Below are 25,809 nucleotides of genomic sequence, written 5' to 3' on the forward strand. Positions count from 1 at the left end.
TTTTTTCTTTATCCTAATCGGAATTTAGATTTTTCACATGAAGGAGAAAATTATCAATCGTAACTAGGCCAAAAGACCATAGAGGGTTTGGAATCTCAGTTTTGCTTTGAATCCTGACTCTACCATTTTAATAAGGATGACCTTAATGAACTTATTGGATCTTTCTAAGCTTGAGTTATATATTTTCCAAAATGAGAATAATATTACCTAGCTTACATGACCACTGTGAGAGAAGTGTAAGGTATTTAAAGCAGCCAAAGGATACTGAACAAACAAAATAACTGAAACACAAGTGTGAAATAAATAAGTTACCTTCCCCTATAATGAAAACCAGTTGTTGAAAAGAAACAAAGAAGAAACATTGAAAGACAGCAACAACTTCAGTTATTATAACACCAATCTCGGCCATTCAAATACTGTCTCTCCTTCCCAGCAGTGACACTGATTTGCTGTGAAAATCTTCCATTTTTTGATTGTTGGTTTACTCGAGAAAATCCTCTTCTGTCTAGTAATGGACGTTAGTAGTCATTAATGGGCTCTACTCTCAACAGGGTACAAGAAGAAGTTAATTTATGCCTGTGGCGGGTTCTGGGATTGTCCTACTAAAGAGATCCAAGATGCTTTCAAATGAAAAGCAACAAAGAACAGAAGTTAAGGTCCCAGATTTCTTCCAGAAAAGCAGACAACTCCTACCCTCAAGCTAGGCTTGCAAGAATTCTTTTTTGTCGGGATCTTAGAAGTTTAATATTTTATGAGGGAGCTATTGATATTGATGTTGAGGACATGGTAGGACTTTACTTCTCCCTCAAAGGATAATTAGCTGTATCCATCACAGTTTCACAGGTAGGGATAATTCACTGCACCACTACTGCGCCACTGTGATATCTTCATGCTGGGCTATAAATGATTACTTCAGCATGCATTTAGTCATTTGGAAATTTAAATATCTACTGTAGACTCTGAGACTGCTCTAAAATCAAATTCCAGAAAAGAGCAGTAAAGAGAATAAAAAAAGATGAATTTTTGCTATAGTTCCTCTAGAAAGGGTTAATCTTAGGGGAGCATAAAAGAATGTTTTCCAAAACAGACTGGCTGTCGGATAGTAGATAAATAATTACTTTCAGTCACATACTAGAGGTTTTTTTTTTTCTCTCTCTCTTCATCTTCAGGCTCCTGTATTTTCTCTGCACAATGTTGTGTGCCTCATAGAGTGTGACACAGAGTCATCTGCTCTCAGAGCCCAGATGCTCTGAAGGTAAACTCTGTGCGCCCAGTGCCTGGGCTCATAGACAAATAACAGCCTAGGGACAGTCCTGCAGCTATCCCGTTCCCAGAGTGCCCAGATGACATTTGTACTTGACCAAAGTTCTAGAAAAAAACTTTTGCTGTCTCCAAGTATCCTGAAGTAGAGCCAAGACTTCTCAGTAGTTGAGTAGTTGAAGGAAACTTGGCTTATTCTACTTTCCATAAATGCCAGTATATAGAAATTAATTAACTAATCATCTAGACAGGCTTACAAAATTGTGGTATACTTTACATGTTCACAGTTTACAAATAATACTTTTACACATACACACACATCAAAAATCGAAATACAATTGTCCTATTCAAAAGATAATTTCAGAACCAATACAAAATATCATCTTACCATTCAGCATTGACAGTGTGCTTTAGTAATGACATATAAGCTTAAAATTGAATAATGAACATTTTAAAATCAAATTCAATTAAGCTATCACTGCAATTAAATGTGTATTTTTATTTGGATTTATAACAATCCTAAAATAATTTGAGATTCTTTAGATGACACTTTGCCCCATAAGAAGCTTTGGAAATATTATCTGACTCCTTAAAATAACTGTTACCATTTTAAAGAACAATTATTTGATTTAGCTCTGGGCCCCCAACAATAAAACCTTAACTCTTTATGCATATGAATCATTAGCTTTCTCTTATCTGTCTCGGTACTGCTATCATCTGCCAATTATACATCACAAATATGTCATTGTTAAAACAGACCTAACAATTACACAGAAAATAGACTTCATTTTCAGAAGGCATCATTCTCACTACTCTTCTAAGAGATTTATACATATGAGTCTTGACCCTCAATTTAGTGCAGGTCTGATGGGCAAAAATATGCAGTTCCATGTCCATGGTGACCCAATTACAATATGTTGTGTATTTTAAATGCTTGACTGGGATGTGAAAAGAATGAATTATGTTCTATAATAAATAGCATAAGCTCTAAAGCTAGAAAAACACAAATTCAAATCCCTAGAACAAATTACTTAACGTATCTAGGCCACTGCTGGATTAGAATAGTGTAATAATAACATATTATTTTAGGTTTTCTTTAAGATTTATATATAAAGTACTAGTAAAATACCAAGTATACAATCCTATTAATACATAATGAGATTACAGTCAAATTGTGATTTTTCAGAGGTTGCTTAATAGCAGTTAAAATGAAACAATTGTTATTAATAGTCACTGTATTTACAGAAACACAAAATATTAGAAATTAATTAAACTATTTCTAGATTGGATGACAACTCTTCTTTGAAATATGACATTCAGTCTAAGATCAGCAGATCCCTGTATTACCTCATGCAGCAAGTGTTACTTTGGGGAAAATATACCTGTAAAATCAGCATAGTTAATGATCAGATTGTGATGTACAACATGTCATGTTCCAGACATTGGATAAGGATGACAACTTGGTATAGTCTTTTGGGGGAGATAATGACTGTTAGAGTGAGGGAGAAGGAATTATTGACTAAAACAAGATGCCCTGAGTAGCAGACTGCTAGCTATTCAGGGAAAATCCTTAAAAAAAAATTCTGGGTACAAAGCTAGACTGCATTTCCCATATCTGCTTGCAGTAGGTGCGACCATGTGACTTAGTTCTAGCCAATAAACAAAAGCAGAAAGCCCCACTTTTAGATTTGATTAATAGACATACCCCCATGATTCTCTCCATGTTCTTTCTGCTATGCCATGACCAAACGTACATGAAGATTATACTGCAAGGGATAGAGAGATCACATGATGAAAGCTTCTGAATTCCTGAATCACCACAACGAGGAAAGTTATCAGCTGACCAGAAACACATGCCTTGGACTATTATGTAAGCAAAATACATAAATAATAACTCTTCTGCTGTGGTTGTGCCACTTTCCAAGTTAAGATCTCTTTGTTGCTATTGTTGGCCTGCATTAAAAATACAGCCGAGTGTTGTGCTTGGCCATTTAGACCACCCACTAGACTGCAGACACCTGAGAGAAACTTGAGGGGTGCTTTGTTATAGCAGCCCTAAGAAACAACATATTTTATAACAAAAGATATTTAAAACATCAGTTCTGGTGGCTAGCAGTTCAAAATCAAGATGTTGGCTAGGCCATGCCCCTGTGAAAACTCTAGGAGAATCCTTACTTACTTCTTCCCAGGAAGCTTTGGTATCCCTTGGCTTGAGCCTTCCTATAAGTCCAATCTCTGTTCATTGTCAATGGTGTTCTTCCTGTGTTTCTGTGTTTACATGGTCATCTTCATATAAGAATACAATTCATATTGGATTAAGGGCTCACTTTGTTCCAGGATGACATTATCTTAACTCATTACATCTGCAACGACCCTTTTTCCAAATCAGGTCACATTCTAAGACACTAGGAGTTAGGGCTTCAACTTAACATTTGTGTGTGTGTATGTGTGTGTCTGTGTGTGTGAGTGTGTGTGTTACAATTTAGTCTATAATAGTTAGTATTAAGAATTAGTAAAACATACTTTTGTATCATTATCTCACAAGGTGTCCCAAATGGCTCTTCTCTATACTCTTTCCGAATGTTAAGACCCAATGCCAGGTCTCTCTCGTTCAGCAGATTTCTCTAATGCTCTAAAACACAAAATTTGCTCCCTTCTAGGAAATCCGGTGTTATTGAAAATCTAAACCTTTAGCCTTTGTTGCCATTGGTGGCTAGTGATACCATGTCAAGATTAGCACAGAAAAGCATAACCACTGTAATCACTGGGATACACGGATCACACATACACACACACACACTCACATGCACACACACATATGGTTTAAAATTAGCTATTGATCTTAAGTAGTGGTGGGAGCTTATTAAACAGTCTTTTTGAGGTGGCCATTTCTGGGGCAGGTATTAGAAACTAAAATCTAAAGGGGCAGGTAGACAAAAGTTGAATGGTGCAAACAATGGCAAAGTGGAATCTGCAAGGTTGTTCTGGTACCCATGGTAAACAGGAACTGGGGTCAGTCTCTCATTGCCTCTAAGCTTCCACCTTCTATGACACAGGTGTACTGGAGGAGAAAGTGATGCATTTCATCATGAAACTAAATATCTACTTGACCCAGAAACTGAAAAGTTGAAGGCGGGCATCCAATAGCGGTCGTTGATCTACAGCCCTATATCAACCAGGTGGGATAACAGGTGACCGACGCCATACTCGAGCTTCAAAAGTACCTGTGTACTACTCTCAGCCGTCTGAATCTAAATACAAAAGGTGACTCCTGGTTCTCTTTGTCTTCCCAATCTATTACAAGATTTCTCCTGTACTCTGCCACATGTACAACAAATATCCAGAAAAGAGAATTCTGGAAACCACAGTTCAAGCCTAATTAAGTTGATGTAATACAAATCTACCACGCTAATGATCTTTTAATGATTTAAAGTACAGCTGCTTTCTTTCTTTGTTGATTTATTATTTAATTGAATGAATACTCATTACTCACATTATTTCTTTAATAATCTGTAATATGTATGAATTCAGCTGGAATTAATAAGACATGGTCCCTTGAGTCATACAACTTCTAGTCCATCAAAGAAACAGATGTACAATCATATAACTAGCACACAATTTAATTATGTTGTTAATAAATGCTTTTATAATGGTATATACAAAGTGGTATAGAAGCTTAGAGAAAACGGTGACCAACACTGTCCTGAGGTAATAAGGAAAGTTTCACAAGGAAAATATTTTTGTTTGCCTGCATTGATACAAAAGAGTCATCTTCAAGCTCTGAGATTCTTTCCTCAGCTTGGTGAATTCTGTTGTCAATATTTCTAATTATGAAATTCCTATAGTGAACTTTTCATTTCCAGAAGTTCAGTTTGGTTCTTTTTTAAAATGGCTGTGTCATCTTTCAACGTTTAGATCATTGTGTCCTCTTCATTGGATTCAGTTTCAACCTTCTTCTGTATCTTGTTGAGCTTGCTTGTCATCCAGATTCCGAATTTTATGTCTCACGTTTCAGCCATTTCAACGTGGTAAGAACTATTGCTAAAGAGCTTGTATGATCACTTGGAGATAAGAAGACACTCTGGCTTTTAGAGTTGCCAAAGTTCTTGTATGGGTTTTTTCTTATCTGTGAGGACAGATGATCCTTTATCCTTTGATGTTACTGTCCTTTGGATATGGCTTTTTGCTTTTATGTTCTTTTTTTGCCCTTGAGTTTTGACTGTGGTACGAGATAAGCATAGTCAAATGGCTTTGTTTCTGGTTGCTTTCACAGACCCAAGGCTCATCTTGGCACTCCTGGGTTATGTGCTCTAACACGGGGGTGCCGGGACAAGGCCCACAGCTTTGTTCCCTTGAGGTTGAAAACTGGCTATTGTGGGGGAGCACCAATGTGCTCCCAGACCACTGGCAACAGCACTCTGCTGAGGGTTGTGGATGAAAGTGCTCTGGTAGGGTGGCAATGAGGTCATAGGTGAAAGTGCTCCAGTGGGTCATCAGCAAAATTGCTTCAGTGAGGCAGCGGGGGTCACCAGTGAAAGTTGTATAATGGTGGCCACTGGCAAAAGCACTCTGGGAGGGCAGCTGAGGCTGCACTGTGAGCCAGTGTGGCCAGACAGGGACTCAGAGAAGCTGGTGACAGGGGGATGTGCAGATTAGACGTGCTCTGGTCCTGCAAGAAACAGCCCTGCTCTGTCCATGTCCACCAGTGAACAAAGGCCAGAACTATCTGGAGGAGTATGGAGAGCCTTGATGGGCGCCTATAGCTGTGTTCCACTGCAGCTGTCCCCGTGCCAAACCACCTGGGCTCCAGGTGGATTTGAGCTCTGTCTGTCTGCTCTCTGGGCCATTTCCCTGCCAACTCAAATGTCTGTGGGGGTTATGGGGGCTCCTGCAGCTAGGATTCTGGAAGTCCATGGTGGGAAGGGACCACTCTGCATTTATTTCACTCAGCTCTTCTTTAGGAGCCATTCAAGCCTAGAGATTTTGTTTTGTTTTGTTTTAGCTCTGAAAGTCTTTTGTGCTGGGAAACCCCTCAGTCCTGGGCAAACCTGAATGTTTAAGAACATTCTTCCTTCTCTGAGTGAAAAACCTAAATTGTATTCTTTAAGGAAATTTTTACAAAAAGGATTATATATTCTAAAGATCCTTGCTCCATGGGGAAAAGGGCACCTTTTTAAGATGCAAATAAAATCAGCTTTTTGTTTTGGAGACTTTCTCGACTACTTTCACTGAGAATTGAAGCTGCCTTATTTGGTGTCTCCAGAATCCCAGACCTGGCCAAGGGAAGAGCGCCCTCTATGAGTAGAGCTATGCCTATGCAGGCCATAAAGCTAAAGTAGACCTGTCCAAGTATAGCTTTTTCTACTGTGAGCATTCTTTTTTTTTTTTTTTTTTTTGTATTATGACTTCATTTACTTTGTAATATAATTTTTAGATACCAATTGGCATTTTTCCTGGGAACATAATTTGGTGACTCAGCCAAGTGTAAATGTAAAAAAGTGTTAATGTGTTAGGAATCAACTTTTTTTTTTTTCTGCAGAAGATTCAAGTAACACGACTCCTTAGCTTACTCATTTAGCACTATCCATTGTCTTCACCCAAAGTTCTCCTATTTGTGGGTCATTATGGAGGTCGTTATCCACAGACTTTCTCTGTGAATATCCAAAGATGCTTTATGCAAGCTACAAAATCACAGTAAAGGATAAGCTGTTTGGGAAATAGAGGGAGACTTTAAACCACAGTGGTGCTTACAACTCAGGCTGAGGGTTCCCGCATATGGTTGTGCATCTGGCTTTGAGGCTGGCAGAGTTGGAATCTAGTCTGCGGTCTCCTCATCAACACAGCCCCGATGGAGTTGTACCTGGCCAGAGGCGGCATCTTTCTCTAATTCAGATAAAGGTACTACATGGCATTATATAGACTAGACCAGGCCCTGGACCTTTTGTTAAGTTTGCTATATAATTCTAACTTGCAATGTATAATTTAGGATGATTTTTGGTTACAAATAGGGTAGCAGACAAATTAACAAAAACGTGAACTTTTTTACTCAGAAAGGGAATTTGCTGGAATAACAATAGAACTTACCAACAGTTTTGTAACTGGACTTCAGAAATATTAGAACCATCAAGATGCTATCCTCTTTTTATTGTGTTAGCCTTGTTCTTCTATCTTACCTCAGAACAGCTTTCTCCTCATGGCCAAAACACAACTGCCAAGAGCTGCCTAGTTTTATGTCTCACAGATTTAGTCCCAGGGAGAGAGTGATCATATTGTTTTTCCTCTGGAAGACACTCATTGCCCCAGCTTGGGTCAAGTACCCAATCGAACTTAGCTGGAATGAAGTCCCATGAAAATGTTATACCTCTAGAAACAATATAGATGGAGTAGAGGCTGGAGGAGCTGTCTCCTTGGACAAAGAGAAATACCTGTCCCAGAATGTGATCTGAATGTCAATCTGAACAATTAAGTGTCATCTCAACTATGTAAAAAAGGTAAGGCCGTGAATTAATCACAGATTTGAATTTCATTCCCTGCAAAGCAAAGTACAAAAAAATAAGTCAAAGATACATACCCACCCTAAGCCCTCAAAAGTTTCACCCCTCAATTCTAACTTGGATACTTCTTACATTTTATCCTGTTTAAATTCTGCTCGCTCCAAGGCTCAATTTCCTTTAGTAAGACTTCCCCAGTGTCATATTCTTCATTGACTTTTCTCTTCTGTCCATTTCTGAGGTACTGATAGCTTAATTCACACATTACCTCTCTTGATCATGCATTGAGCCAATTATTAATACATGACTATTAATTAGCAACAATCACCTACCTTCTATTTTCTGCATGGTGAACCAGTGCTAGGTGTACTCTCTGTAAACATGTTTAAGAATGGATTCTGGGAGACTATAACTTGGCATTGCTTTTGCAAAGAAGATTGGCTAGACTCACAGTAAGTCTAACAGATGAGTGCCAGGGAAACTTACTGTATTACTCAGAGTTCTCCGGAGAAACAGAACCAGTAGAAGATAAATAAATAGATAGATAGATAATAGTGAGAATTGGTTCACTCAATTATGGAGGCTAAGAAGTCCCATGATATGCCATCTACAAGCTTGAGAGCCAGGGAAGTTCATGGTATAACTCAGTCTGAGTCCAAAGGTCTGAGATCCTGGGAAGCTACTGTAATAAGTCCCAGAGCATAAGCTGGAGAACCTGGAGTTCTGATGGCCAAGGGCAGGACAAAATGGATGTCTCAGCTCCAGAAGAGAGGATGAACCCTCTTTTCCTCACCCTTTTTGTTCTATGTGGGCCTTCAATGGATTGGATAATGCCCACCCTCCAGCCCCCCAACAGTGGTGAAGTCAGATCTTCTTTACTCAGTCTACTGACTTAAATGTTAATCTTTTCTGAAAATACTCTTACAGACCTACCCAGAATCAGTTTCACCAACTATCTGGATATTCCTTAACCCAGCCAAGTTGATACCTAAAATTAACCACCACACTATTTTGGACTCACTGAAGTATATGCTATGGAATGACCTCAGGCTGGAAGCTGAGACACAGGTGTGGGTAACATAAGACATACGTCTCTGCCCCTCCCCCACCATAAATTGCTATAAATGAGTGGACTGAAAAGACCATTATTCTGTCTCTTCAATTTTCTACTTATGGTAACTTTTTAGGTAAAGAGGAAGTTCAGAAAACTTTTAGAAGGGGTACTTTTTGTAATTTCTAGAAGGCAGAGGTGTTTGTGTTTCAACATACATTTCCAGATGTGATGCAAGTCAGTGAATGTGATTAGAATACCAGCTCACTAATTTGAAGTAATTAAATGGAAATCAATTTAAATTGGTGGAAAAACACATTTTGAGCCATATTTAAAAGGCACAATAACTAGAATTTGACAAACAAAATGTTACAGGAAAATGCTCCACAGAGAGAACTTTGTTTAGGGAACTCTTCATGAAGGCTTGCATTAGCATATTTATTGTTAGGGTGTCAACAATGTTCCCAGAGTAATGGAAAACAATATTTTCTCTGAAGTAAAATAATGCATTCTTTTATACTTGTTACATTATTTGCATTTAATTTAACCTCTAAATGGCTTATTCTTTTGTGTAGTATTGTACTTTGCAGTTCAAAAGCATCTTCTCATTTATACCTTGCATGATCTATCAGGTAAATAAAGTAGAATTGCTAGACTTCCTCGAGCAAGAATGTGAGGCTTAAAGATAATTTATGAATTTCCTGAGACTGAAGACGTGTGAGTCATGTGATGGGATCAGAAAGCAATAGACTCCAGTTCATTCTGATACATCAAGTAACCATGGATCTGAATTACACCAATATTAAGACATTGAAGTCTAAATACATTGCATTTTTCTTTAGAGGCAAATGTTGATATACCCATAGGAAAACTGCAGGTTTAAAAATAATCCATCAGCCAGGTGCGGTGACTCATGCATATAATCCCAGCACTTTGGGAGGCTGAGGCGGGCGGATCACAAGGTCAGAAGTTCGAGACCAGACTGGCCAACATAGTGAAACCCCATCTCTACTAAAAATACAAAAACTAGCCTGGCATGGTGGCGTGTGCCTGTTGTTCCAGCTACTCAGGAGGCTGAGGCAGGAGAATCACTTGAACCTGAGAGGCAGAGGTTGTGGTGAGCCAAGATCGCACCACTGCACTCCAGCCTGGGCAACAGAGCGAGACTCTGTCTTAAAAAATAATAATAATTCATCAAATACAAAACTCTCATCACTCCTAGAATAATTCCTCAAGTTGTTAGGGACAATGTGTAGGAGGCATGATAGGCTTGGAGGAAAAACAGTCCCTCCCTGCTGATTCTGGCTGAACTAAATTGTGCTCTAAATTTTATCACATCCTTTTTTGTTGACCGATAACATCTGACTGATAACGGGGTCCCCACATAAATCTCATCTCAAACTATAATGCCTACATGTTGATGGAGGGACCCCGTGGCAGGTGATTGCATCATAGGGGAAGTTTTCTACATGCTGTTCTCATGATAGTGAGTGAGTTTTTACAAGATCTGATGGTTTTATAAGGGGCTCTTTCCTCTTGGTGCTCTCTCTTTTGCTCACTTACATGGGTAAGACATGCCTGCTTCCCCTTCCTCCATGATTGTAAGTTTCTGAGGCCTCTCCAGCCATGCAGAACTGTGAGTAAATTAAACTTGTTTTCTTTATAAATTACCCAGTTTTTGGCTGTTCTTTAGAGCAGTGAGTAAACAAACTAATACATTGACATATTACAATTGGAAAATAATAATGTATCTGGGTCAAGTTAAATATATGTAATCAAATACATATGTGTGTGTCTTTGTGTGTATATATTACATATAAGTTTGTATATATAATCATATCACATATTATGTATAGTGTCATATATGTAAAATATACTATTTGCATTATAAATACACAGTCACTTATATTTACTTAAATACATTAATGATATTTTTTTCCTTCTCCATCTAATGAAAGCAGATAATTGGACTTAATGATATTTTGAGGTTGCATTCAGTATCCTCTATCTTTTCTCTCTGTCTGTACTCCTCCGGCAGAGATGTGTTTATAGCGGAAATTGGATTTACTGTTTGCATAAACCAATATCTTTAGCTGGTGGCTGTGCAGGTCCAATTAACTCCTCTAACAATACAACTGAAATGAGGTTATTGGATTATGTTGGTAGGCAATTAAAGTTGATTGGATCAAATACTCCTTGTAAACTTATTTAAAATTAAGAAAATATATCTAAAAATACTGCATAGAATGCTGAGACATCTTGGAGAAAATTGGAAGATTTATTCATTTATCTTATATGAGGCAATGCAGCATATGGCCCCTAATTTATGCTGAGATTTTTTTCAATTTTTTTTTGGAGATTTAATTGACAAATATCATATATATTAAAGGTGTACAATATAACGATTTGATATACATATACATTGTGTAATAATTTCCACAATCAAATTAACACATCCATCACCACTCGCGTTTTATCTTAAATACCCACAACTTATTTATCTTATATATGAAAGTTTGTACCTTTTGACCAACTTCCCCCCAATCCCCCTACCTCCTAGCCCTAGTGGTTGCTTTTCAACTCTCTGCTTCTGTAGGTTTGACTTTTTTAGAGTCCACATATAAGTGAGATCATACAATATTTATCTTTTGGTCTCTGGCTTACTTCATTTAGCAAAATGTCTTCCAGGTTCATCCATGTTGTTGCAAATGGCAAGATTTTCTTACATTTTATGGCTGAATAACATTTTGTGTGTGTGTATGTGTGTGTGCATATCACATATTCCTTACCAATTCATCCATCAATCATAGCTGAATAATATTCCCTGTGTGTGTGTCTAGGTATGTCTGTGTGTGTGTTTATATCTCACATTTTCTTTATCCATTCATCCATCTGTTATGGTTGAATAATATTCTGTGTGTGTGTGTGTGTGTGTGAGAGAGAGAGAGAGAGAGAATTGGTGTGTATATATCTCACATCTTCTTTATCCATTCATCCAACACTTAAATTGTTTCAACATCTGCATCTTATCTCTTGTGACTGATGTTTCAATGAACATGAGAGTGGAGATATCTTTTTGAGATACTAATTTATTTCCTTGGGGTACATACCCAGAAGTAGAATGGCTGAATCATATGATAATTTTATTTTTAATATTTAGGAACCTCTATATGCTTTTCATAATGACTATATCAATTTACGCTCCTACCAACAGTGTACAAACATTCCCTTCTCTTCACAACCTCACCAATACTTGTTATATCTTGTCTTTTTGATACTAGCCATCCTAATAAGTGTGAGGTGATGATCGATTATTGTTTTGCTTTGTATTTCTCTCATGATTAGTGATTTTGAACATCTCTTCATATACTCATTGTGGATTTGTACGTTTTCTTTGGAAAAATGTCTATTCCACTCCTTTGCCCATTTAAAATCTGATTTTTATTATTATTATTTTTTGCTATTGAGTTCTGTTAATCACTTACATATTTTTTGGATTTTAACTCCTTATCAGATATATGATTAGGCAAATATTCTTTCCCATTCCACAGGTTGACATTTTAATTTGTTGCTTGTTTCCTTTGCTGTGCAGAAGCTTTTTAGTTTGACACAATTCAAATTATTATTTTTTAAATTTTGTTGCCTGTACTTTTGGTATCATATCCAAAAAAACTATTGGCAAAATTAGTGTCACAAAATAAAGGCCATATATGATAAGCTGACAGCATACTAAATGGGAAAAAGCTAAAAGCTTTTCCTCTAAGATCAGGAAGAAGACAAGGATGTTTACTTTTGCCATTTTTATATAACACAGTTCTGGAAGTCCTAGTCAGAGAGATAAGGCAAGAAAAAAAAATCATTCAAATTGCAAAGGAAGAAATTAAATGTCTCCATTTACAGACAACATAATCTTATATATAGAAAATACTAAAGACTCCATTAAAAGTCTGTTAGAAATACTAAACAAATTCAGTAAAGTTGTAGAATACAAACTCAATATACATTTAAAAATCAGGGTTTTCTTTACACTTACAATGAGCTATCCAAAAATGAAATTTTTGGCCAGATACATGGCATATGCCTCTAATCCCAGCACTTTGAATTTTAGATTTTTTTTTTCTAATCAGTGAAGAATGATGGTGGTATTTTGATGGAAATTGTGTTGAAATTGTAGATTTTTTTTGGCAGTATGGTCATTTTCGCAATATTAATTCTACCCATCCATGAGCATGGGATGTGTTTCTATTTTTTTATGTCATGTATTATTTCTTTCAGCAATGTTTTGTAGTTTTCCTGGTAGAGGTCTTTCCTCTCTTTGGTAAGGTATATTCCCAAGTATTTTATTTTTTTGCAGCTATTGAAAAAGGGGTTGAGTTCTTGATTTGATTCTCAGCTTGGTCACTGTTGGTGTATAGAAAAGCTACTAATTCTTGTACATTAATTTTGTATCCAGAAACTTTGCTGAATTCTTTTGTCAGTTCTAGGAGCTTTCTGTAGTAGTCTTTAGATCATATCAAATAGCCAACAGTGTTTGGAGGCCATTGATTTCTTTCTCTTGTCTGATTGCTCTGGCTAGTACTTCCAGTACTATGTTGAAAAGGAGTGGTGAGACTGGGCATCCTTGTCTTGTTCCAGTTTTCAGAGGGAATGCTTTCAACTTTTCCCCATTCAGTATTATGTTCGTTGTAAGTTTGTCATAGATGGCATTTATTATATTGAGGTATGTCCCTTGTATGATGATTTTGCTGAGAGTTTTAATCATAAAAGGATGCTGGATTTTGTCAAATGCTTTTTTTGCTTCTATTGAGATGATCATATGATTTTTGTTGTTAATTCTGTTTATGCAGCATATTACATTTATTTACTTGCATATATTAAACCATCCCTGCATGCCTGATATAAAACCCACTTGATCATGGTGGATTATCTTTTTGATATGTAGTTGGATTTGGTTTGCTAGTATTTTGTTAAGGATTTTAGCATCTATGTTCATCAGGGATATTGGTCTGTAGTTTTCCTTTTTTGGGTATGCCCTTTCCTGGTTTTGGTATTAGAGTGATACTGGCTTCATAAAATGATTTAGGGAGGGTTCACTCTTTCTCTATCTTGTGGAATACTGTCAATAGGATTGGTACCAATTCTTCTTTGAATGTCTGGAGGAATTCTGCTGTGAATCTGTCTGGTTCTGGACTTTTGTGTTGTTGTTGGTAATTTTGTAATTGTCATTTCAATCTCACTGCTTGTTATTGGTCTGTTCAGGGCATCTAATTCTTCCTGATTTAAGCTAGAAGCGTTGTATAGTTGCAGGAATTGATCAATCTCTTCTAGAGTTTCAAGTTTGGCCACATAAAGGTGTTCATAGCAGCCTTGAATGATCTTTTGTATTTCTGTAGTGTCAGGTGTAGTATCTCCCATTTCATTTCTTATTGAGCTTATTTGGATTTTCTTTCTTCTTTTTCGGTTAATCTTGCCAATGATCTATCAATTTTATTTATCTTTTCAAAGAACCAGCATTTTGTTTCATTTATCTTTTGTATCTTTTTTTGTTTCAATTCATTTAGTTCTGCTCTGATCTTGGTTATTTCCTTTCTTCTGCTGAGTTTGGGTTTGGCTTGTTCTTTTTTCTCTAGTTCCTTAAGGTGTGACCTTAGATTGACTGTGCTCTTTCAGATTTTTTGATGTAGGTGTTTAGGGCTATAAACTTTCCTGTTAGCATTGCCCTTGCTGTGTCCCATAGGTTTTGATAGGTGTTGTCACTGTTGCCGTTTAGTTCAAAGAATTTTTTTAATTTCCATCCTAATTTCATTTTTGACCCAGTGATCATTCAGGAGCAGGTTATTTAATTTCCACATATTTGCATGGTTTTGAAGGTTCCTTTAGGAGTTGATCTCCAGTTTTATTCCACTTTGGTCTAAGAGAGTGCTTGATATAATTTCAATTTTCTTAAATTGATTGAGGTTCATTTTGTGGCCTATCATGTGGTCTATCTTGGAGAAAGTTCTACGCACTGTTGAATAGAATGTTTATTCTGTGGTTTTTGGATGGAATGTTCTGTATATATCTGTTAATTCCATTTGTTTCAGGGTATAGCTTAAATTCATTGTTTTTTTATTGAATTTCTGTCTTGATGACCTGTCTAGTGCTGTCAGTGGAGTATTGAAGTCCCCCGCATTATTCTGTTGCTGTCTATCTCATTTCTTAGGTCTATTAGTAATTGTTTCATAAATTACAGAGCTCCAGTGTTAGGTGCATATATTTTTAGGATTATGATATTTTTCTGTTGGACAAGGCCTTTTATCATTATATATGTCCTTCTTTGTCTTTTTAAACTGCTGTTGCTTTAAAATTTGTTTTGTCTGATATAAGAATAGCTACTCCTGCTCAATTTTGGTGTTCATTTTCATGAAATGTAGTTTTCCACCCTTTTACCTCAAGTTTGTGAGGGTGTTCATGTGTTAGGTGAGTCTCTTGAAGGCAGTAGATAGCTGGTTGGTGAATTCTTATCCATTCTGCAGTTCTATATCTTTTAAGTGGAGCATTTAGGCCATTTGCATTCAATCTCAGTATTGAAATGTGAGGTACCATTCCATTAATCATGTAATTTGTTGCCTGTATTCTTGTTTTGTTTTTGTTTTTTAAATTGTATTTTTGTTTCATAGGTCCTGTGAGATTTATGTTTTAAAGAGGTTCTGTTTTGATGTGTTTCCAAGATTTGTTTCAAAATTTAGGTCTCTAACTTTTGGCAATTCTTGTAGTGGTGGCTTGGTAGTGGTGAGTTCTCTCAGAATTTGCTTGTCTTAAAAAGACTATGTGAAGCTTTCTTTCATATGTGAAGCTTACTTTCACTGGATACAAAATCCTTAGCTGATAATTGTTTTGTTTGAAGAGGCTAAAGATAGGCCCCTGTCCCTTCTAGCCTGTAGGGTTTCTGCTGAGAAATCTACCATTAATCTGATAGATTTTCCTTTATAGGTTACCTGGTGCTTTTGTCTCACAGTTCTTCTTTCCTTCATCTTAATTTACATAACCTGATGATAATGTGCCTAGATGATTATGTTATTGTGATGAATTCCCCAGGTGTTCGTTGTGCTTCTTGTATTTGGATGTCTAAGTCTCTAGCAAGGCTGGGGAAGTTTTCCTCAATTATTCCCCCAAATATGTTTTCCAAACTTTCAGATTTCTCTTCTTCCTCAGGAAAGTAGATTATTCTTAGGTTTGGTTAACATAATCCCAGATTTCTTGGAGGCTTTGTTCACATTTTCTTATTTTTTTTCTTTGTCTTTGTTGGATTGTGTTAATTCGAAGACCTTGTCTTTAAGCTCTGAATTTCTTTCCTCTATTTGTTCAATTCTATTGCCGAGACTTTCCAGAGTCTTTTGCATTTCTATAAGTGTGTCCATTGTTTCCCAAAGTTTTGATTGTTTTCTATTTATGCTATTTCCTTGAATATTTCTCCCTTCACTTCTTGTGTCATTTTTTGGATTTCCTTACATTGGGCCTCAGCTTTTTGTGGTGCCTCCTTGATTAGCTTAATTACTAACCTCCCGAATTCTTTTTCAGGTAAATCGGGGTTTCTTCTTGGTGTGGGTCCATTGCTGGTGAGCTAGTGTGATTTTGGGGTGGTGTTAAAGAACCTTGTTTTGTCATATTACCAGAGTTGATTTTCTGCTTCCTTCTCATTTGTGTAGATTCTGTCAGACAGAAGGTCTAGGGCTGAAGGCTGTTGTTCAGATTCTTTTGTCCCATGAGGTGTTCACTTGATGTAGTATTCTCTCCGTTTTCCTATGGATATGGCTTCCTGAGAGCTGAGCTATAGTAATTGTTATCTCTCTTTTGGATCTAGCCACCCAGCAAGTCTACCAGGCTCTGGGCTGGTACTGGGGGTTGTCTTCACAGAGTTCTGTGATGGGAACCATCTATGTGTCTCTCAGCCGTGGATACCAGCAATTGCTCCGGTGGAGGTGGCAGGGGGTGAAATAGACTCTGTGAGGGTCCTTAGCTTAGGTTGATTAATGCACTGTTTTTGCACTGGTTGGCCTCCTAGCAGGAAGTGGTGGTTTCAAGAGAGCATTAGCTGTGGTAGTATGAGGAGGAACAAATGGTGGACAGTGCCCCAGATTGTCCAAGCTTATATGCCCTTCATCTTCAGTTATCAGGGTGGGTAGAGAAGGACCACTGGATAGGGGCAGGGCTAGGAGTGTGTGAGTTCAGACTCTTCCTGGGTGGATCTTGCTGCGGCTGCTGTTGGGGATGAGAATGAGGTTCCCAGGCCAATGGATTTATGTTCCTAGGAGGATTATGACTGTCTCTACTGTGTCATGCAGGCTGGCAGGGAAGTGGGGGAAAGCTGGCAGTCACAGGCCTCACCCAGCTCCCATGCAATCCAAAGGGAGTCTCACTCCCAGCATGCCCCCCAACCCAACAGCACCGAGTCTGTTTCCAGGCAGTGGCAAGCAGGGCTGAGAACTTGCCCTAGTCTACCTGCCTCCCAGCTGCAAAAGCAAATCTGGCTTTTCTTCTTCCCCTGCCTGTGGAGTCTGCATACCAGATTCACGTCCTCGCCTGAGTTCTGCCAGGAGGCTTCTAAATCAGTTCAAATTTTTACAAAATTCAGCTGGAAATTTCCTTCTCCCTATGGCCCTTGCCCACTGCATCTTGCCACCCTCCTGAAGGACCCTTGTGAGGCCAGGCAAAAATGCCTTGCTCGGGGATCCTACACGCTCCCAGGGCTTTTCCCGCTGCTTCCTCTACCCCTGTATTTCACTTGGCTCTCTAAATTGATTCAGCTGCAGGTAAAGTCAAAATCTTCTCCCATAATCTAGGCCTTCAGTTTCCCCAGTTGGGGTGCATATTTGGGGGCAGATGATCTGCCTTTCCCGCTTCCACAGTTTGGGCACTCACAGTAATTCGGTTGTCTCCCAGGTCCTACAGGAGCAATCTACTCCCTTCATGGGGTCTGGGGTCCTCTCAGGTTTCCTGATTTATTCCTGCAGTCATTTGGGAGTGAAAATTCACGATGCGAGCCTCTACACGCTGCTATGTCCATCCAAGTCGGAGCTGCAATGCAGTCCTGCCTCCCATCTGCCATGATCCCCAAAGCTCACTTTAATTGTGCTGAAGATATAGAATTAATCCTCTCCCTCTGCTGATATAATATTTTGTAAACATAAATGGGTAAAATATTCACTGTGATTAGGTGGATCATCAGGAGAAACACAGAGTAATCTTTAAGGAAATTGAAGCATGTGTCAAAGACCAAGGAAGTCAGTGATTCTGACAACAACAGCAAAACCAAATACCTCTGCTCTTTGTTTCTAATCTCTTGCTCTTACTAGTTTTAGCTACACCTCAGTCTTAATCCAATAATAAAAATAGAAAATCCTCCAACAGTGTTTCTAGATTGTTATAATTCCTAGTTTTATGAGAAGGAAATTGAGGTTCAGGAAGATTAAATAAGTTATCTAAGGTCAAACAGCTAGTAGGTTAAAAAGATAGAATTTGAGCCACGTTTTACCTAGAGATTGCAAAATGCATGTCTTTCCATTCCTGTGGCCTGAACTAAGAAGTCAGTCATCTGTTCTATAAAACTGAGGTAGACTTTATCTTTGTGCCTTGCCTATGCTTAACCCAACATCTGCTTTATTATTTGGTCCTAGACACTAGCTAATTTATAAAGAAAAAAAAGTCCAATCAATTTCTATGAGCCATTCTAAAAGAGACAGGCACAACAGGTGACAGTAGGGTTCCTTCAGCTTCTCACCTGGTGGTAGGAATAGGCAGAATGGCACAAAGGGGTCACTGAGCAGCTGGGGATGCCAAACCCCTGAACACCTGGCTGGTGTGTGATGGGAAGTAAGGAGACTGGTAAGGGCAATGGGTGAGTATGGTCTGTACCCATTACCAACTGTAAATATGCTAACCAGCCCACCACACCAAAGGAAGTCCTGGCCTGTCCCATCCACAGATAAAATAATTGAGATATTCTCCAATACCCTCGAACACCTGGAACCCATTTATCCAAATAGCTTGGAAAATGCCTGGATCGGGGCCAGCTGCGAGAGTAAACAGTCAGATGAGTTTAGTTGATCACACTTTCAGGAAACTCTAACAAAGCTGGAGACCATTTTCCTGGAAGTTGTCTTACTTATGACATTTATTCGTCCATGAGTCCCATTAATTCTTCTTCTGGGAAAAACAAAGATGATTATAAAGCCAGTATCATGAATGTGATCGCTGTGTGGAACGCTTAGCTTTGCTGTCTTGCTCAGACAGTCTTCAACTCCATCCAGGTTTCACATAAAGAGGACTCTGCCAGAAACTGTGGATGAATCAAAGTTCATCTCCATTACTAGAACAAGCACATCTAACATTAGTTCTACTCGTTACAGGCTAGCAGAGTTAAAACAATTTTGTAAAAAATAAAGTATTTTAGGTTTCGCTCTGGGACAAGTTTATTTTTACTTTTAATTATAAATGTTCAATAAGTAATCTTTTCTCAACCCTCTACTCACATAATATTCATAATTCTAAATGCCCCAAAACTTTTTTTCTAATCTACCTCACCTACAGGTGCAGGAAGGATGTTTAGATACAGACCATACAATGCAGAGGTATCCATTCCTAATCTTCCTACACCTCCTGGAAAAGGTAGACCGACTTCAATGTTTCATGTCTAAGACGTTGAATAACCTGTAGACAGCTACACATCTATGAAGCAGCAGTTTTCATGCGTTAGCCATCTATGTCCAGACTCTGTTCTAGGAAACTCTACAAAATGCTGCAGTATTGACTCCTCATTTCAGCCTCTTGAACTGTATACCAATATTCTCTTCCTTTTTTAGGATGACTATATTTTATCCCCCAAATCAGGAACTTTTGGGAACAAAAGCAAGCACTATGGTCATCTAAACAGGATTTGAAGCCTGATTTTGCCACTTACAAGCAATGGTTTTTGAAAAGTCTCATCTTCTGAGATCCTCACCATAAAATGACTTTACTTTCTCGAAATAGTGAAGATGAAATGAGATAATTCATGTTAATTACTCAGTCCTGTGCCTTCCAAATAAGCACTTTAAAAATGCTTGTTATTATTATTATTATCAAAAATTCTTAAATTCTTTAGGCCAGAATTCAGAGGATAGCAGGGCACTTTGCAGGAGAAGAGCAGAGGGAAACAGCCTGGCCTTTTCTAAGTATGAAGAATTGGAGGGTGTCTTTGAAAGTAGGTAAGTTTTACCTGTCTTTTTGTATTTTGTCTGTAGAAGGACCACAACCAAAATAAAATCACATAATTAATAGTGAATTGAAATATAGACACTGACACAAACACACAAACAGAACACTATTCATTATAAACAATGCATTTAAGATATTTCTATATTGAAATAGAGAGCTGCATCAATCTTGTTAACTGTTTTGCAGAATTAGACTGGAAGCATTTTATTTTTTTAACCATCCTACTTTATGGATGTCCAAGGTTCTGGAGAAAGGTTGTGGGATAGAATGTGGTAAGCATATCATTTAGAGGAACAATATGAGGCTGGAGAGAAAGGAAAAAAAGCAGAGCATTTAGGGCCATGTAGGTCAAAGTAAGAAATTGTTATTTTATTTAAAATGAAGTATATAGAAATCTAAAGCATTTAAGTGGTATGTTTATCAACACTGGAATTTGCTATTGCAGCATTGTAGTTTTGAACATCCTCATACATGTAGCTTTATACATATTTTAAAAATGGTTCAGGGTAATAAAATTGATAGAAGCAGAAATATCAGTTCAAAACATTTGCACATTGAACATGTTGATATGTATTGCCAAATTCCCTAAAAATATGCCTCACTCCCAGCACTAGTATATGCGAAAATCCACGTCCCCACTTGGCTAATTCTTAATTCTATTTGTAGAGATCTGTTAACCTGTTAAAGCCAAATAATACAATGGGGTTGCATTTTAAGTGAGATTAAGTCAGTGAATAACATACAAATTACATATAGGCAAAACTACCTTACAAAATCATAAAATATGATAGATGTTATTTGAGGGTAGTTAACTCTTGATGATAATTCTTATGTACCCCGAAATGTAAAAAACACTGAACCAAAAAAAAACCCAGCAAACAAAAGGAAAGTCTATGCCAGTGTCTAAGAACTCAAAAATCAATCATTTTCAAGCTGATTGCTGAATACCTAGGATGAGAGAGTGATAGATAAGGAATTGTAAATAAAATGTTCAAATTTGCCCATAAGGTTCACACCATTCTGCTTTAAGACTCTACAGTATTGAAATAAGCAGTCAAAAGACTGCCTATTATTGAGATAATTAATAAAACAATATATAAAAGTACCTAACATAGATCTGGCACATTGAAATGCAAAAATTAAAAATCAAATTTTAAATATTTAAATTTTGTTCTATGAGACTGACATTTCTTTCCAGTGTCCTTTATTGTTTTCCACATTGGCAACTCCTCTTGTTATAACAATAACAAATTATTACCCATGAATTTTGGCATTGGTTTCAAGACCGTTAAAGTGGCATTGGAGGGTGAATAGGTAGAAATGGGGTTTTACATGCTAAGTTATAAAGTCAGAATTAAGTAAAACATAAATAGGTTTCAATACCAATATAGACAATGACTTGTAATTTAATTGACAATTATCCTGATTCCTTATGAGGTTAAGAATTTTTGACTTCTGCATTGCTCATTTCTATTTCTATTTTTATGAATTGATTACTTATATTCTTGAAACCAACTTGTGTTTAAGTTGTATTGATTTATAGTAGTTCATTGTGTTTGCTGTATGATGTCTCCATCAGTTATCTATTGTTTAAGCTTTGTTTATATAGTCTCCAAGATATAGAATGGTTTTTAGTTGATAGTCATATCATTAAATCCTTCCTTTATGCCTTTAATTGTATATATTTACTTAAGAATTACAATGCTATCATCAGAGTGAATAGACAACCTACAGAATGGGAGAAAATTTTTGCAATCTATCTGTCTGACAAAGGGCTAATATCCAGAATCCACAAGAAACTCAAACAAATTTACAAGAAAAAAAAACAAACAACCCCATCAAAAAGTGGGTGAAGAATATGAACAGACACTTCTCAAAAGAAGACATTTACGGGTCCAAAAAAATATGAAAAAAAGCTCATCATCACTGATCATTAGAGAAATGCAAATCAAAACCACAATGAGATAACATCTCATGCCAGTTGGATTGGTGATCATTAAAAAGTCAGGAAACAACAGATGTTGGAGATGATGTGGTGAAATAGGATCGCTTTTACACTGTTGGTGGCAGTATAAATTATTTCAACCATTGTGGAAGACAGTGTGGCAATTCCTCAAGGATCTAGAACCAGAGATACCATTTGACCCAGCAATCCCATTACTGGGTATATAACCCAAAGGATTATAAGTCATTCTACTATAGAGACACACATACACGTATGTTCACTGCAGCACTGTTCACAATAACGAAGACTTGGAACCAACCGAAATGCCCATCAATGACAGACTGCATAAGGAAAATGTGGCATATATACACCATGGAATACTATGCAGCTATAAACGAGGATGAGCTCATGTCCTTTGTAGGGACATGGATGAAGCTGGAAACCATCATTCTCAGCAAACTAACACAAGAACAGAAAACCAAACACCACATGTCCTCACTCATAAATGGGAGTTGAACAATGAGAACACATGGACAAAGGGAGGGAACGTCACACACCGAGGCCTGTTGTGGGGTAGGGTGTTATGGGAGGGACAGCATTAGGAGAAATATCTAATGTAGATGACAGGTTGATGGGTCCAGCAAACCACCATGGCACGTGTACACCTATGTAACAAACCTGCACATTCTGCACATGTATCCCAGAACTTAAAGTATAATACATTTTTAAAAAATTAAATGAAATTAAATATTCAGTTAAAAAAAATAATTACAATGCTTTCTACATCCCTCATCTTGTATCATCTTCATAGGAATCTTTGAGGTTCCAATTTTATGAATAAGAAAATGAGGGTACTCTGAAGTTAACTGCTGTGTTTAAGGAAGAGTCTAAGTTAGAAGATCCAAGATTTAAGCGTTAGAAGATCCAAGTCTTCTAACTATAAAATCGCTGTTGACTCCTCTAGCCATGAAGTCATGAAGTAGTATTGGGAGCAAGGGGAAGTACCTAGCCAGCTAAATGGGCAAGAAAAACTTTATTGAAGACCTTTGCAAGAAGAAAAAGAAATTGAACTCAACTATCCTGGTACAAATATGTACATTATTATTTGTAAATTACATTTTTTAAAAGGTGGGAAGGTTTTTAGGCAACTGAGTTAGCTAGCAGAAAAGTCCTGGAGAGCTTTAAGGGGGAGCGGCTAATGTGATTAGGCCAGCTGTGTTTGCTCATTGGTGGATATCAAAGTTATTCTCCCACCCTCTCGAAGAGACTAGGAGATAGCGATGCTATCTTTATAATTACATTTCAAAGGATGGCTCCCAGGTACTGAGAAAGACATTCCTGGCTTATAGAAGACTTATATGTCAAAAGGGCAAATAAATAATTTATAATTATAAGTTTTCTTATGTAAACACTCTAAGAAAAGGGAGGTCAGAGGCCTGTAGTCAGGAAGAAATCTGTCTAAACTTTTCTCAAAGTGAGGGAGAATATAAGGCAATTTTGGCCAGTAAAAGGGATGAATATATTTGCATTTTGAGTACTGTTCTAGAAAATGACTTATTATTAAGTGTGGTTGTTTTAGGATTCTTTTCTATGTGTTCAAGTGACAGAAATTCAATTCTAATTAGCTTATTATCTTAATAGTTCAGACCCAGAGTGGTACAGGTGCTCCAATGATGACACCAGAACTGGCCTTTTATTATACGGCCTTTTCATCTATTTATCCAGCTAAAAATGTGCCTTTGTTTTTTGACTATAAGTTACCCAGCACCTGTTTGCATGTTAATTTCATGCTCTCCTGCTAGATGGGCTCTCTGCACATGGTGCCCCACGCAAGCAGGCTGGTAGTAAAAGCAAATTTGCCATGACCCATCTCAGGAGCTCACTCAGATGTTCATTTGCCCTAGACAGGGCAGATGTCTCATCCCTCCATTACCCATCCTCCCAGCTCTTCTCTCTGGAAGAAACATGATTCTTTTGCCACCTGAGCAAGGACTGCCTCCCCTACTCCCACCAAAAAAATAGGGAAAAAAGTGTTTACACATTAAAAGTCTTCCTTCTACCCCTTGCAAATTTTGAGCCAGTATCCTAAAGAATTGGTTATGCTACAGGATGAATTCACTCTGGTGATCTGGGTTAGAGAGATTTTATGTTTTGTTTTATTTTTTTGCTCATTCTTCCTAGTCACTAGGATTACAGTGAGTTTCCAAATGATTAACTGCAACTGAGAGAAAACCACAAATAAGCACTGCCCTGGGAGAAGGCCAGTGGGAAGAACACTGGCTGGCTGCTGAGATAACAGGTGCTCCTCCAGTGATCTATTCAGCCAGCCCTTTGGAGGTGGTCAGTCGCCAGGTTTTATTTCAGTGATAAAAGAGAAGTGAATCTGGATCTATGATCAATAATTCATGCTGCCCATTGGGATTTAGCCTCCAATCTGAACCTTCTTTAAAGGGTAAACTATAAACCACACTAAATATTTAGAAATGAAATTTTAGGATTATACATTTATAATTGCCAAAGCTGGAAAAGGCCTTATATAGGCCTTTATTATTTTATGAGGGAGGAACTTAAGGCCCAGTGTGGTTACATGTTTGGCCTAAGTTTACATGAATCTGAAGAAATAAGAAAGCAGATCTCCATTGCTAGCCTCTCTTTTAGCTTTCCTATTGCCTACTCACTCATTTCAAAACTCATTTGATTTTTCTCTAAATTCCAAAAGAAATTAAACCTTACAATGAAGTTTCTCCTTTCTTTACATAAATATACAGATGTTGTAAGTTTTCTTTAAAATCCATATATACCACTGATTTTCTATTATTTGTTCATCTCTAAAATCCAGAGAATGCACTAAGAAACTGAATCAAGAAACCTATGGATTTACACAATTAATGCCCAATGAATCCACTTTTGTCAGTGAGTATAACACTGTAAAGAGAAAGAGGAGTTCGTCACACAAATGATAAAACAGACCCCCTCAGTTACTCAGAAACAGATGGATAGAGCTAAACAAAAATCTTTCAAGATTACCTAACGTGTAAGTAATGGAGCTAGATTTAAACTTACGTTTCTCTGTTAGAGTTCATGTTCTTTGATTCACATCACATTAAAAGGCAAGAATTTATTTGTTGTGCAAAATCACCTTCTGTGATTCTTACTTAAGAAGGAATTTGACAGAATGGTATCAATGAAGTTCTCCTAAATGGAGAAATGGAAAGAGGTGGTTTTTCCAGAACAGTATTACCAATTTCTGGAAAATACACATTTTAAATAATATTTTGTACTTTTGGAAACAGACAGAGAAGTCTAATGACTTAGGAGAATTAACAACAAAAATAGTGGTAGGACTAGCCTATAAGCCAGACATCTTACCTTCAGGGCCTGAATACTTTCCACCACATTCTGCCGCTAAGAGATGGAAAGAGAGAAGGTCTCATTTATTTTGACATTAGTGATTTATTCGCTAAATAAGCCACATTGTCTTCCTCATACAAGATAGTAGATCATAAAGGTGGACAGTTGTTACACAGCCAAACTCTGACAGCCACTGGTGCAACTCAGGAATCATGGTTTCCTCCCACCTGCTCTGTTTCTTTGACCCAGAGAAAATACAAAAGGGACAGTAGTGAAAGAAACCCCACACTGGGCAAGGATCATGCCCTAGAAGTTTTCTGGTGGGCCTCATAGTGGGAGCTGGAGGCTTGGCTTCTTTGAGCTATTTTTTGGATGAATGGCCAAGAAAGAGAGGATTACTGTGCATTACTTGTCCCTTTTGAGCACAGATCTACGTACTTACTGCAAATGTAACCTCTAAATGGTATCTGCACCTT

The sequence above is a fragment of the Homo sapiens genome, chromosome 10 (genome assembly GCF_000001405.40).
Source record: "Homo sapiens chromosome 10, GRCh38.p14 Primary Assembly".
NCBI lineage: Eukaryota > Metazoa > Chordata > Mammalia > Primates > Hominidae > Homo > Homo sapiens.